This window comes from Homo sapiens, chromosome 11 (assembly GCF_000001405.40).
Source record: "Homo sapiens chromosome 11, GRCh38.p14 Primary Assembly".
In the NCBI taxonomy this organism is placed as follows: domain Eukaryota; kingdom Metazoa; phylum Chordata; class Mammalia; order Primates; family Hominidae; genus Homo; species Homo sapiens.
The window spans coordinates 12,375,488-12,391,276 of NC_000011.10; the positions used below are offsets into that span (position 1 = coordinate 12,375,488).

Here is a 15,789-nt window from a genome sequence, read left to right on the forward strand (position 1 = left end):
GGGTAATTTTGATTATGGCACATTTAGGACTAAGCCTTGCATACAGATATTAGCAATTTTTGAAAGAATAAAGAACCACAGACTGTTAAGAGCTGAAAGTAGCCCTAAATGGCAAGACATCAGGGTGTGAATCAGCTATTAATACATCGAAATCACCTGATGTAGTCTGTTTAAAAAACACCTATCCCTTGGTTTCACCTGAGATCGACTGAATCAGAATTTCTGGAGATGGGGCCTGTGAATGCAACAAACTTCTAAGCGACTGTGATGCACGATCGAGTTTGAAAACCACTGTTCTGTGCCAACCATTTCATTTTGTAGATGAGGAAATGGAGACTCAGAAAAGGGAGTAAACCTTTCCAAGATCACACCGCTATTGAGCTACGTGTCTCTTAATTCCCTGACAAGAGCTCTCGGGGCTGGAGATACGCTTTTGGAGATGTCCTATATCTGATATCCTGAACAAAAATGATTAATGATGTAATCAAAACACACTTATATTTTGGCTTCTCACCATCCCTTTAAGATTTATTGTCTAGGAGGAGTTGTAGTAATCTTCCCAGGCTAGCAGACATCATGACTTTTCTGCTGTTAAGTAAGAGGCACCAACTAAAGCAGATTTTTTTTTTTTTTAAAAAAGGTAAAATTAAGACTCTTAAGATAAAATGAACCTATACGGTGTTGAGAATCTGTTGACTATCTTTTTGTTAAATTTTAGTTCTACTCAGAAACTGTTGCTTGTCACTTTATTTAGTTTAAGGAACTGTGGATGGGTTAATAAAAGGCTGAGTAACATCTCCTGGGAAGAAGCACAGCTGGCCCTGGCAGGAAGTGCAAGTGGGGTCTGGGAAAAGATTCAAGGTCCAAGCAGCTACTCCCCACGGTTTCCATTACTCAGACCACGTGGCTTCTTGAGCACACTTCTTTGCTCCATTCTTTGGTTTCCCTACTCCTCAGCATGCACGTGGCTAGAAACAGCCACCCTAGTTTTGATTGCGAATGATCATCAGTCACGAGCACAACTTCTGACAACAGTCTCTCCAGCTTAGTGCAGTCTTAACTGGGGCCAGCTGATCGTCTGCTCTTCAGTAAAGCAGTAGCGCCCTTTGGATTAGGTGTTCACCCAGGTTCAATCAGCTGTGGCCTAGAAGGGGCCACAAGGAGGAAACACAGTTGCCAAGGTGCTGTGAGTCTGTGTGTGAGAGACAGACAGAAGGACAAAGAGCCAGAGTGAGAACTTGAGATGGGTAAGCTCAATAACACGTGCCTTTTAATCATTTCCAGTATGAGTCCTTCAAACACTGTGCTTTGTATGACTCCCCTGTTATCTCAAATGAGTCTGGTTGTCACTCTCTTGCTTTTATTTAGGCAGGATAAATTTTGCGGGAAGTCCTGTAGGAGCTCATGGTTGTGCTTTTCCCATTCATGTTTCCACCACCACGTGGGATCTTCCTTTGTATAAGCTGCTGGAAACACGGATGTCTTACAAGAATAAGAAGCCTCGGCTTTACCCTTGTGCACTCCAAGCTTCTCAGTCTTGGATGGGAGTAGAGACGAGGAGGTTGACGGTCATGGATAGGTTCAGGAGTGATTGGTTCTGCCCACTTTGGTGGGGCCTGGACACATTTTGGTTCACTGCAATAATTTCTTCCAGGAGCTGCAGTCTTGTGGGCGCAAGACGTGGGCCTGATAACCCCACAGGCAGTAGTGCTGGGGCAGAGCGAGCTCACCAGCCGCCGGCTGGAAGACCCCGGGAGAGTAGCAGGGTTGGGTTGGTTCTCAGATGTGTTTTGCGCCAGGCTGTGTGGTGGGGACAGAGCCTGGGTAAATGAAGCTTTCCGGCTCGACCGCTCCCAACCTGGGCACACACGTCCTCCTGTCCTGCAAGGGGCAGTTTTGGGGCATCCTCCCTGCTTGGGGCAACCCAGGGGCGCAAGGCGCGGCCCCGGGAGCGCAGCTCCTTCCAGGGCAGAGGGCGGCGCGAGGGAGGGAGCGAGGGAGGGAGCGAGGGAAGGGAAAGGCGAGCGTGAGCTGCCTCAAATGCTTGGAATAATTCCGCTTCCGTTTGGAAAGCCGCAGCCTCAGTCCCGCCGCCGCCCGCTGCGTCCGCCCAGCGCCAGCTCCGCGTCCCGACCGGCCCGCGGCAGCCTGCGCCGCGCCATGGCCACCTCCCCGCAGAAGTCGCCTTCTGTCCCCAAGTCTCCCACTCCCAAGTCGCCCCCGTCCCGCAAGAAAGATGATTCCTTCTTGGGGAAACTCGGAGGGACCCTGGCCCGGAGGAAGAAAGCCAAGGAGGGTGAGTGCGGCCAGGCCGGCCGGGCGGGCGGTAGGAGCCGGGGGTGCCGTAGGGGCCGAGGGGCCGGGGCACTGGGACCGGGCGGGAGCGCGCCGCGGGTGCCCGGCGCGGTGGGGCGCGCGGCGATGCGTGCGCGCGCTTCCCGGGTACGTCGGGCAGGAGCGACGCGCACCCCACACTGAGCCCGGGGCTCGCGGGCCATCGAGGCCACCCCGCCCGCTCGCGGTCGCCCGGGCGCTGCCCTCCTGGGCCGGGGACCAGGCCAACGCCCCCGCCGGGCCGTGGGCGGGCGCCGCTTGGCGGCCGGAGGCGGCGGGACCGGAGCCCAGGCGGGGCCCCAGCCCGCAGACAGTGCGATCCAGTAGGCCCTGCCCCGCCCTCTGCGCCCGAAGGCTGGCATTTCCCAAGTTTCCGCTGCAGCTTTCCTGGGCGCCGTCGCTCTTACTCGTTGCCTTCATTGGTCCTTAAAATCAGGTCGTTTCCTGGACCTGCTGACGTCCTCTGGCAGCGGCGTCGTGGCTTTGGCCTCTTCGGGATCTTTTGTCCATCCCGAGGGCTGAGAAGGGCTCTGTTAATGGAGTAGGTGGACATCGAGTGTTTGTTGAATGAATGAGCGAAAAACTGGCAAACCTAGCGTGCCCTCGGTGTAATACACAATAAACTCCCACCAAAGGAGAAAACCTGCGTGAGACACAAACTTCGTCATGGGCCTGCTGTGAACTCAGGCATTCAGGGCTTTCGTAAAAACCTTTGTTTTTTCCCCACCAGAGTGAATTGAGGCGACCTTATTCTTTTTTTTTTTTTTTTTTTTCAGGGTAGTTTGCATGTAAAATATTTTTTTTTCCCATGCACAGATTTTGCGTCCTGGTTTTTGGTTTGAAAACGAGGTGGCAGTTCTCAAGAAGCACTGTGGTGACTGGTGTGTAGATAGAAGTTGCTGAGTTAAACATTTTTGTTTTAAACATTTTTTAGTTGATGCATGATGTACATAGTTCTGGGGCACATGTGATAATGTAATACATTCATATAATTTGTAAAGATCAAATTGCACAGGAAAGGGGTCCCAGTCCAGACCCCAAGAGAGGGTTCTTGGATCTCACGCAAGAAAGAATTCAGGGTGAGTCCACACAGTAAAGTGAAAGCAAGTTTATTAAGAAAGTAGAGGAATAAAAGAATGGCCACTCCATAGACAGAGCAGCCTGGGGCTGCTGGTTGCCCATTTTTATGGTTATTTCTTGATGGTATGCTAAACAAGGGGTGGATTATTCATGTCTCCTCTTTTTAGACCATATAGGGTAACTTCCGGACGTTGCCGTGGCATGTGTAAACTGTCCTGGCGCTGCTGGGAGTGTATCAGTGAGGACGACCAGAGGTCACTCTTGTCGCCATTTTGGTTTTGGTGGGTTTTAGCCGACTTCTTTACTGCGACCTGTTTTATCAGCAAGGTCTTTATGACCTGTATCTTGTGCCCACATCCTATCTCATCCTGTAAGTTAGAATGCCTTAACCTTCTGGGAATGCAGCCCAGTAGGTCTCACTCAGCCTTGTTTTACCTGGCCCCATTCAAGATGGAGTTGCTCTGGTTCACATGCCTCGGACAAAATCACTGTACTTGGGATATCCATCACGTTAAAGATTTGTCTTTTCTCTATGCTAGACCACTGGAATTCTAGATATTTTGAAATATACAAGAGGTTATTGTAAAATATAGTTAGTTTACCAATCTAACACTAGGTCTTCTTATATCAAATGGTATATTTGTAACCATTAATCAACTTCTCTTCCCCCCTAAAAAATGTTTTTAATAGATTGCTCCATGAATTAGAAATAACCTTTTGAAAGCTGTGATGCTGTGTGAAATTTTCATGTTTGTAAGTCATCTTAAAGTATAAAAACATCTTCAGCGCTGAGGATTATCAGACTTGATGAAGAACTAGACTTCTATTCCCTAGATTGAAACGAGAAGCAGCAAAAACATACAAAAGTTTCCCCACATTGGTTATTTTGGTAACCCATCGAGTAGTGTACAGTTGGTGGCAAATCATGAAACCCTGGCTTGGGAAGCTCTTTTCTAGACCATGTTTCTAACTTCTTCCTTGCAGCATTCCTGACATAGTCTCATCCAGTTTAAGATGGGGCAACTGAGAAATATTGAAGCTCATGACCTACCAGGATAACCATCTTTACCTACTCTGTAGAAATTTATCTCTCTGTACCTATCACTGTTGGTAGAGCCAGAGAATGAGTCTGGGGTGGCCTTTTATTACTACCTTGCTGAAGTAGGCTATCCTGCTTTCTAGAGTCTTCTCTCCACCAGGCCCAACATCCTCTATTCCTCACAGACATAATTTTAAGGACTTTTGCATCCTGTCTCTTTAGTTTCAGACAGGGTCCCTGCAGGAAAAAGAAGGCCAATTTAGTTGAGATTTTGAAAATAATTTAGTGAAAGGGCTATTGACAGAGCTGTGGGCAGGGTTAAGGGAACTAAGAAGGGATGCTGAGGTCCCTAGGGGCTAGCAACAGGAGGAAGCTCTTAATCACTCCGAGGCCTGAGGGACAAGGGAAGCAAATTGGAACCTATTACAAGCTGGGGTTATGGACGAGGGGCTGCTGGACTGGAACTATAGTCATAGAGGGATGCAGCTACTGTCCGAAATATGCAGACAGAGCAAGGAGAGAGTGGCACAATAAATGCACATTCTGCATGTTCTCTGTCTTCTTGCCCGTGCATCACCTACTGGTGCTGAACCCAGTGGGAAGCCATCAGAGCAAGGGATCTGCAATAGATAGGGGCAGCGTCCATAGGGCACAGAGCAGTGCAGAGAATAGATCACAGTGGGGACGGTGGAAATGGAGAATACCTAGCAGATCAACCTGTTACCAGACCCGCTCGAAGTGAGCTCTCCAGAAGTCACCATAGTACAGTTGTAGTGCAAGCCAGCCACCCCAGATTAGGACTGTCATCTCCCTTATTCTAGCACAGACACAATGTTCTTTTAATGCAGCTAAGGTTGCCTCTAACTATTCTGCCAGCCACGTCGCACTGTGATCTCTCATTGAGCTTGCTATCAGCTTACTCAAAGACATTTTTATATTTGTTGCTCCTAAATCACAGCCTTCCCTATCTTGGATTTACTCAGTTGGGTTTTTGAAACCAAGTGTAAGATCTTATTTTCATCCCTGTTATATTTCACTGTAAAGTCCTGATTCCTTCATTCAGTCTGTCAACTAATCCAGGGGCTGTAAATGGATGAATGGAAGAACACAGAACGTCTTCTGAAGGGCCAGCCACCACCCAGCTCCAGCTGCTTGCTGCGGCATATGGTATTTCTGCAAGCCCAGGCAAAGAAGGCAGTGGGTTGGTTTGAAATGACTGTCCTTAGTGAGTATGTGCTGGATCTCAATGATCAGTGCTGAAGTGATGGTTAGTAGGTGTGGGGCCCCATTAACCATCACTTCAGTAATAATAAGGCCGGATCTTGCTCTGCATCCTGGATAAGCTCACAGCTTTGTGCTCTGTAGAATCTGCCTTCTTCAACTTTCTCTTTGGTGTTCTTGAACCTCTCATTCTTCATTCCTCAAGATCACTGCCATCAGTCTGTCCACAGATTATCTCAGTGCTTTGGTGTAGCATTCTCCGAGGCCCAAGGACTCCCATTCATTCATTTGGTACCTGCTATGTCCCACTGTAGGACACAACAAATGGAAAGATATAATACTTGTTAGAATATAGTTGACCCTTGAACTATGTGGGGGTTATGGACATTGACCCCCTGTACAGTCAAAAATCTGTGTATAGTTTTTAACTCCCCACAAACTTAACTGCTAATAGCCTACCGTTGACCAGAAGCCTTACTGATAATGGTCAATCAACACATATTTTGTATTGTATACTGTATACTTAACAATAAACAAACTGGAGAAAAGAAAATGTTATAAAGAAAATCATAAGGAAGAGAAAATACGTTTGCAAAACTGTGCTGCATTACTGATACTGTAAGTTTACATTGTCTGACTGAAATGGTAGGTAACCACAGCTGCACACCTCAACCTATGGTACACATCAAGCAATTCAACTTTTCTTATAATGTCATGACTTTTCTCTGATACTTGGGAGTACTTCCAGCATCTCTAGTGGCACTTTGTTAGAGTCCCATGGTGTTAGTCAAGGTTTATGGTATTTCACTAAGCATGAAAAATATGCGAGAACCTCAAGAGATCACTTTTAACTGCGGTACACAATTTACTGGAGAGATGAACTGTTCACGTGGAGATGATTAGCGTCACAAGGTGTTTTAAGCAGATACTTGCAGCGCTTGAGCTCACCACAATAGCAACAGGAGGTAGCTGTGAAATTATTACAGTGGTACAGTATGTACTACAGTTCATTTCGTGCAGTGAGGATTTAATCTTTACGTTTACATTTCTCTCATCTGCAGATGGCATCACGCACAGTTCTTGTGTGTATGTGTACATTTTGACATTTCGATAAGTTCTAACTGTTTGTAATAGATTTGTTTATATTTTATGGTAGTAAATGAGAAGGCAGACAAGTATTGATGTATATTTTATGCATTTGTGACATGAGTAACTTTTTCTTTTTTTTTTTTTTTAATATTTCTAGGCTACATGGTTCATCTCAAGGTTTTTCTAATTGTCACAGATCTCCAAAAATATTTTCCCATATAGTTATTGAAAAAATTTGCATATAAGTGGACCCTCGCAGTTCAAACCTGTGTTGTTCAAGGATCAACTCTATTTAGGTTAATAATTTCATGTAAAAAATGTCCTCCTAAGGAAAACTACATCATAGAATGACTATGAGTCTCATAAGAATGCACTCAACTAGTCATCACTCCTGTGTTTTCATAAGAAAAAACAGTGTTAGAGTCCAAGAGAGAACAAGGGTTAAAAGCATGGTCTTTAGGATTAGACACATTTCAATTGGATTTCTGGTTCAACCCCTTATTCATTCTATGACTTAAGACAAGTTACTTAACCCCTGTAAGCCTCTGTGTCTTCATCTATAAAATGAGAATAAGAATTCCTTCTTTACATGGAAGTTGTGAGGTTTAAATGAGATCGAGAATGTAAAATGCATTGCATGGCACAAGTAATGGTAGCTATTAAAATTGACAACTCAATTTTCATTGGTCTTTGAAATTTGAAATAGTCTTTTTATTATGGACTGCACTGGCTTTTTCAGGTTCTGTAAATAGCCTAGTAGCCCATGACTATATGCCTGTGGGACACTATTTTGTCCCTTTAGGAGTTAAGGGATCTTTCTTTGCAAGTGAGATCCTCCCTTTTCCCAAGATGACACATTTCAGCACTTTATCTGGGCCCCTTCTTATGAGTTGTAGCTTAAGTGGCTTTTGTTTTTCTCTGTTGATCTTTTTCTTCTTCTTTTGGGTTTTCAATTCCATTTCTGTTGGACATGGCCCTCCTGTGTGGATTCTTTCACTGCCCTTTCAGAGTCTACTTGCCAGAGGGCCACTTTTCAACTTTCTTTCTCTGAAACTGTCCTCAAGACGTGCTCTTTCAAGCAACACTAACTTGAATTGTACCTCTCTGCTGAAGGCACCCGAATTAGGCCAGCAGCACTGGTCATTCCTGTCGTTTACCCATTCATTTAAGTTTTTATCCCCCAGAGTTTTACATTTTGATCAGGACCTGAGGTATCCAATGAAGGCTTTAATTTCATAATTCTTCTAATAATACTAGTTCTTACCACTTGATTCTCATTGGCTGCCCAGTGTTGCTGGAGAAAAATCCACAAACCTTGCAACAAATTTATGGTTTCTAGAGTGAGTAGAACCCTTAGCACTGCAGAGCTACCCTTTTCTTCTAATCAGCCGGTGCATTCTCATTTTTCCAAAGTACATCTTTTTCTGTAGAGACACAGTCTTGCTATGTTGCCCTGGTCGGTCTCAAACTCCTGGGCATATCTAACTTTTTCTTAATTTTTTTTGATATTTCTAGATCACAAAATTCATCTGCAATTTTTTCAAATTGTTGCAATTCTCAAAAAAGTTTCTAATACATTTATTTTAAAAATTTGCATATAAGTGGACTCTTGAAATTCAAACCTGCATTGTTCAAGGGGCACGCCTTGAACAATGGCACCCATGTTGTTGTCCATAGCCCCTAAAACCCTTCCCTGGATTTTCAGATAGAAAATTGAGACCAGCTATGAGCTCCTTCAAGTTCCCTTTCTACCATATCTGGCCAGTCCCACCCATATGTGCAACTGTCTTTGTGCTCCCCACCTGCCCTAGTCCCTTCCAAGGAGGTCCCTTCTCTCCTTGCTCATAAGGCCATTTCTTTCAGCTTCCTCCCAGACTTGGCATAGCCAGATATGCTATTTCTCATATCCCATCTTTTTTTGCCACTCTGTCGCCCTGACGTTCTGTAAATATGCTTGAGTCTTTCCTATTTGGAGAAAGTCTCCTGATACTGGTTTCCTCTTTAGCTACTCACCAGATGCCTTGAAAGAGTTATCTCTACCTGCTTGTCTTTTCTTATCTCCCAGTCACTTTCTGATCCATTATTTCCATTCTTTCAGCAACTATTTATTGAGTGCCTAACACGTACCATGCACTGTACTAGGTTCTAGAAAGGAAAACAAAACAAAAACTCTTGCCTTCCTGGAGCTTACATTCTAACAGGGGAGACAGGTAATAAACAAGATAAATTGGTAATGTTTGTATTTTGTTTGAGTGGTAGTAAGTGCTAGAGAGCAGAATAAAGCAAGAAAAAGAGAAATAGAGGGTTGTGGTCTGAGGATGGTTGTCAGTATTAAGTAGGATGGCTAGAGAAGGCCTCACTAAGAAGGGTAGATTTGAGTCCCAATCTGAAGGAAGTGAGGAAGAGAACCATATGTATATCTTGGAAAATAACATTACAGGTGGAAGGAATGACAGATGCAAAGACCTTGGGGCAGGTGTGGACCTGGTACATTATTGAGGACCAAGAAGGAGGTTGATGTGACTGGAGAAGAGAGTGAGCATGATTGTGGAACGGGGGTTGGTCCCGGGTGTAACAAGAGGAAGGGCAGAGGCAGGTTTTGTAGGGCCCTGGAAGCCATTGTAAAACTTGGGCCTTTACTCAGAGTTAGATGGGAAGGCTCGGGAAGACTTTGTGCAGAGGAATGGCGTGATCTCACTTCTGTTTTAACTGATGGTGCTAAAACACCATCACTCAGATGGTGTTAAGTGACTGAAGCAGGCAGAGATGAAGCAGGGAGATGAGGCAAAAGGTTTCTAGAATGAGGCTGGGCATGGTGGCTCACGCCTGTAATCCCAGCACTTTGGGAGGCGAAGTGGGTGGTTTGCTTGAGCTCAGGAGTTCAAGACCAGCCTGGGCAACATGGCGAAACCCCATCTCTACAAAAAAATTAGCCATGGGTGGTGGTGCACACCTGTAGCCCCAGCTACTCAGGAGGCTGACATGGAAGGAACGCTTTAGCCCAGGAGTTTGGGACTGCAGTGAGCCATGATCACACCACTGCACTCCAGTCTGTGTGACAGAGCAAGACCCTGTCTCAATAAATAATAAATAAATAAAGGCTACCAGAATGACCCAGCTGAGAGATGGTAGTGCTGAGGAACAGAGTGGTAGCAAGGGAAGGAGTGAGGGTCAAATTCTGGATATATTTTTAAAATACAGCAGATCTTGATGAAAGATCGGTTGGCAGCTAAGAGTAGAATTAAGATGACCCCAAAGGTTTTGGTCTGGGCAACTAAAAAGATGAACTGATTTTAACTGAGTTGGAGAATCCTGGAGGAGGTCAGCAACTTTTTCTGAAAGGGCCAAATAGTAACTATCTAAGGCTTTATGAGACCTATGACCTGGTTTGCACTATTCAGCTCTGCCTTTGCTGCCAGAGACAATAGGTCAATTAACAAGTGTGGCTATGTTCCCATATAATTTTAGTTATGGTCACTGAAATTTGAATTTCCCATTATTTTCATGTGTTACAAAAGATGCTTCTTTTGTTTCTTCTCAGCTATTGAAGGAAGCATGTACGTGTACATGAGAATGTAAAAACCATTCTTAGCACTTGGGCTGTACAAAATAGATGGCAGCCTGCACATGACCCAAGGGCAGTAGTTTGCTGCCCCATCCTCCATTTTATTCCCCATGTCTAATCATCTTTTATGAAATCCTGCTGAGTCTACCATCACTAAATATCTAAATATCACTGCTTTAATTCAGCCTTCACAAGTGCTCTGGATTGTTCGTTCATTTTCAAAATTTTTACTCTTATTTTCCACCTGAAATACTGTGTTATCCACCCAGCTAGGCTTCCTATCATGGGTCCATTTTTGTTCAGCCCATTCTTCATCCTTTTGCCACTACATTGTTTTTTAAAGCACAAAGATAACTTCTCTCCAGGACAAACTTCTTAACATGCCATCCAAGGCCTTCACAGCTACTCCTTCCCTTACCTTTTTGCTGTCTCCTCTATTTCCCTTCCAATAAATCTCCATTTTTACCATAGGAAACCACTCTTAATCCCCCAAACATGTCATTTTCTTTCACATGTTTATGCCTTTACATGCTGTTCCATATTCTGGAAATACCTTTTCCGTTTCCTATACAACCAACTTCTGTTCATTCATAAAGACCCAACTCAGAAGTCCTCTTCTGCATGAAGCCTTCCACAGTGCCCACAGGAAGAGTGAGATGCTTCCTCCTCTGTGATCCCACAGTGCCTTGTCTATACTCTGTGCTAGCACTGGTCATGTTGCATTGCAGCTGCTTGTCACACACTATGGTGACAGCCCTCTTGCCTACCATAATATCATCAAACACACAGTTATTAGAATTTCTGTGGAATGAATTTCCCCATATTTACCTTGATGAAAATAGCCCACCATTAACTGGCCATGTAATCTTAGACAGATCTCTTCCCCTTTTGGTGTTATTTGCCCATTTCTAACATTAAAAGATTAGACTAAATAACCTCTTAGGTCCCTGCTGCACTGGTATTCTATGATTTCTGAGCTCTTATTTCACCCAGCTTCTCTCAAATTCAGTTTTATTGTCTGTGTAGGGTGGTCTGGGAATTACATCATCACAAAGACCTCTTTCTTTCCTCTACTAATGAAGGCACCTCTGTGTCGGGAGGAGGAGATGGATACCAGGATAAGTGGGCCCCGGCCCAAGGACACCTCCATATTAGGAATCAGCCTTCTTGTCTCATGGAATATCTCTATTTGGTTAACAAGCACAGTTCATAATTATGTTCCAGCCATGAGTCCAGGAGAAGAGATGAAATCCTCATGTAAACATTTGTAAGCATCTAAAATCTCCACTCACTGTCATGGAACAAAGAACAACATTTGAGGAAAGCCCTACAATCATTTCAAAAATAAAATACTTTTAAAAAGTATGTGTAAACACATTCTGTTAGGTTTTCAATAGGTTGTGCAGCCTGAAATCAGTAGGAAATCCAATGAGGGCTTTGCCTGAGGACCAGAGCACCAGCACAAGGAGACCTCCTCCTGCACAGGCCCTAGGCAGCATCCTTTCTTTTCTGTTTTTTCTGCAGATGCCATGAGGGTAGCCGTTGTGTGGTATCTTTGGTGCCTAGCATACTACCTAGTACTTAACCAGTGCTCCCTAAAATGCTTCTTAACTAACTGTCTGAATCATCACTGGGCATCTTATTCCCATAGAGGGAGTCCCCAGGTTACCCCAAACTCTGCTTTAACCTTGGATGACTCTTCCAGTCCCCAGATTCTATCCAGGTCTCTATTTTTGAGCGTGTGTGTGTGTGTGTGTGTATGTAGCTTATGAAAATGCCTCATCCCTACCCCTAGGAATCTCTTTTCCTTTTGCGGGAAGACATTGTCAGTTAATCCTGTTATTTGACAAAGGCCTGTGAGACCAGAGGGTCCTAGAGTCCATGGGCACTGATTTCCCAGTGGCAGCAGTGAGCCCGGAGGAGGCCCATCGGTTGGGGGGTTTGGGGTGGGGGTGGGGGTGCAGGGGGTGACCAGATGGAATGTGAAGGCCGGTTGACTTCTTTGTTTTCATCCAGAAAAGCTTGCTTTTCTGAAATGGCATGGTACGTATTTATATGAAGGAGGACTAAGGTAAAAGAGCCCAATAGCAAGATTTAGGAGAGATAAGAGACTTACAGACCAAAACTCTATAGGAGAGATTCAGAGTTCCCTTAATTCCCCAAAGTCTGTCTCATTCTCCCTCCCCTGCCTATTCCATCCCCTCTTGCCCATCTCAGCTTCATTTCCTCACTAAAGTGCAAAGTGAAGGCAGCTGAAAATCAGCCAGATGCAGAGCCACTATCATTCCTCCTCAACAAGAGTCTCCTCACTTCAGCCCTCCCCCAAAAGACAGAACTCACCAAGAGGAGAAGATGGCTGGAGGGCACACCTTTGGTGAGCTTTGCCTAGCCTCAGTTAATTGCAGCTGCTTAATTTTTGTTCAGGCCTGGGACAAATGTTAGCTGAATGTGTGGATCACTATAGGACTTACCTAAAATCTGGTTCTACTAGCATTTAATAAGTGATAATTCTGTTTGCTTGGAACAGGCCAGCCTGCCAAAGCCTTAGTAAACCGACACGTGACCAGTGTCACTGTCTTTGCTTCAAACCAGCTTTAGGGCAATGAGAGGCCGTGGATGGAAGAGGCAGTGAACTTTTATCAGCTTAAACAGAAACATTCTTAATGACTGCACACTCTCTTGGGGGAAAGAAGAATGAACCAAATCACTTACCATCTGATTTTTTTTAATAAAAGTTTTTCCTTCCCCATTATAAAATTAGCCCATGCTTACGGGATTTATGGAAAAATAGATAAAACCGTTGTGCAAAGTTCCAGCTCCCAAAGGCAATTGCTATTAGCGTTTTGCTTCATTTCTTTCTATTCTTCTTTATTATAATTTTTTTCTTTTTTAGTATTGTGAGTATACTATGTATGTTGTAAAGATAAGTTTTTTTATCTTTTTCATTTATTATAATGTAAATATTTTTGTGTTATAAATCTTATTAAACACAATTTTATAGGCACATAATACTCCATTGAGTGATTATCTTGTTGTTTACTTTGGTCTCATTTTTTTTCTTCTGTAAATAATGCAACCTAAAGCTTTTTTAAAAAAATTCAGGGTACTTTACTTTGGGTAGAGTCCTAAAAGTGCAATTACAGGGCCAGAGTGTGATAATTAGCTTATCATCAATAGGTTAGAACTGATAGCCAAGAAGAAATGATTGCCATTAATCATTATCAGAGGGATCTGAGTGATCCCTCTGATAGGTTGCTTGGAATTAAAACCAACATTGTGAGGCTGAAAGTTTCTATTTGCTCTGGGCTGGCAGGACCAGATTACCTAAGGGGTAGGATGGGAGGATGATGGGTCAGGGAGAGGAGATTTCCAGCCTGGCCAGTAATGTGCTCAGAAGCAGGCCTTTATTTGAGAATGTTCTCTATGGCCATCTTTCCATCCATAGATGGCCCTGTATATCACCCCAGTGTCTGCTCCCTTCTGTCAGAGCCCAGAGCGTGGCTGCCCTGGGGACTGCCATCCTTGAAGCTGTCTGAGAAGCATGGCCACCATCCCCTCTTCCCCTCTGAGCCCTCGCCACTCCTGTGTGAGACCCAGTGGAGGTCTGGTCAAGAAGTCTCTTTCTCTTGCACACTTTTCTCCCCACCTCCCAGCTTCTGAGTTCTTGGACTTACCCCAAACTTGGCAATTACAGACACATGGGAGGTAATTGCAAGACAGTGGGCTGAGTGCTGCAGTAGAAGCATTTAGGTGGAACTCTTAGGAGACATGGTGATTTCAAGCTGGGTCTTGAAGCCAGCAAAGGGATCCCCTCCCACCCATTTCCCCTCCAGGGCAACAAGAGAAGGGATGGGCTTTGGGAACCTGAGTTTCAGCTGGTTTTGACAGAGTGGGTTGGGCTGATGCCTCAGGGGCTCAGTTTCCTGTACCTGCATTAGAAGTCAGTAGGCAGGTATCTCATTGCATCTCTGAAGAATGGATCTGAGCCAGTTAGAGCACGTCATTATCACACCTGACACCTCAGGGAGTGTTTCTGGGGAGTCACTGGAGGACGTGGATGCTCTCCCTGGGAGGGATGTGTCAGGGCATTTATTTCATCATTGAATCATACTCTTTTCCGTTCACTCATTCCCTTACCTCTTTTAAAATCCAGAGGCAATGCTCCTCTTCTACTCTGAAAAGCAGCCTGGCTCTGGGGAGCTGTGAATGAGGCTCTTCATGAAAATGCAGCCCATCTCTTGGGGATGATGATGAACTACCAAGGGGCTTGGCTGGGGGCCTGTTTCTTCTCTCTTGGTGACATAAACCCAGGTGGAGCAGACTCTGTGCTCGTTTCTTTCCAGGAAACATTCATAGGCAGAATCGTTAATCTGCCAATTGCAGTATTACATTGACTTTCCAATTCAAAACGATTATTCTGAAAGCATTTTCTGTCTTGGCTAGCATGGTTTTGGCCGTGCGATGTGTTGAGAGCCCCTGGTGGGGATGGGGAAGGAGAGAGGAATTCAGGAGGGGTCTGTAGTTCTAATCACCATGTTTAGGAAGCAGGGCACACCAGGTCTGTTGAGGTGGGCAGTGAGATGGCAGGGTGCAGAGATTCTGAGCAGAGAATTCTTGGCATCTCTTGAGTGCCTGAGTCCTGAATCAAGGAGACTCCTCAGAGTCCAGGGTGAGGTCTCAGATTCAGAGTCCTGGGGACAGAACCTGGCAGAATGTAGCAGGCAGGTTACGACCCTAGCTGAGTAAGTAAGGGGCAGAGGCTGCTGTAGTCTCTATGTGGAATTAGAACTCCTGGCCCTGCAAAGTAGAGGTCGGTGGGGAGGCTCACAAAGGGACCCTGGTTCTTGCCTCCCTCACTCCATTCTCCCACACTTGAGACTTGAAAATAAACTTTCCTCTCTGTTGGGAGGGGTTTTCCTATTTACCATGAGGCTGAGCTCTCCCTGGCTCTCAGCCCTGGTGAGGCAGACCTGCAGATGACAGGTAATTAATAATGACAGCTGGGAGAAGCAGGGGCAGCAGGAACCAACAGTTTTGATGCTGTTTGCAAAACACAGGAGGAGGGTAACACAATTCCATTTTAAAGCAGCTCTCAGGATACAGGCAAGTCCTGAAATAGCCCCATGTAAGGAGTAGCAGCTGCCTCTTGGCTGAGTGTTACAAGGCCTCTCTTGGTGGGCTCAGCAGCTCCTTCAGCACATGCCCAAGTTCCCAGAGAACAGAATGATCCCTTTGCCTGCATTTCCTCCATGGCCATCATTACAGTAAATTGCAAGGCTCTCATGATGACTATAGAGAGGCAGATTGATTTGTTCCTTCTGATTGTCACTGTGCTGAACGTGGCCGGAGTGATGGGCACCCAGATTTCACACCTTGTAATGGCCCTGCCAGGGTGGATGTTAGCACAATTGGGACCTGACGCTTCAATAAATCTGAGACATTCTGCTGTGGAGATCAAAGT

General features: G+C 45.1%; 1 protein-coding gene across 2 annotated transcripts in view; it reads left to right on the top strand.

Annotated features, from left to right (window-relative positions):
* The first annotated feature begins 948 nt into the window (after positions 1-948).
* The window catches only part of PARVA (parvin alpha), a 158,921-nt gene continuing 144,080 nt past the window's right edge, over positions 949-15,789 (top strand). The window contains exon 1 of one of the 2 annotated variants that reach the window (XM_005253015.4): positions 949-1,247. In XM_005253015.4, the coding sequence (XP_005253072.1) occupies positions 1,244-1,247 (4 nt within the window). In that variant the 5' untranslated portion in view covers positions 949-1,243. Of the gene's footprint in view, positions 1,248-2,083; positions 2,297-15,789 lie in introns of those variants that run through there. The other variant, NM_018222.5, reaches the window with a different exon arrangement.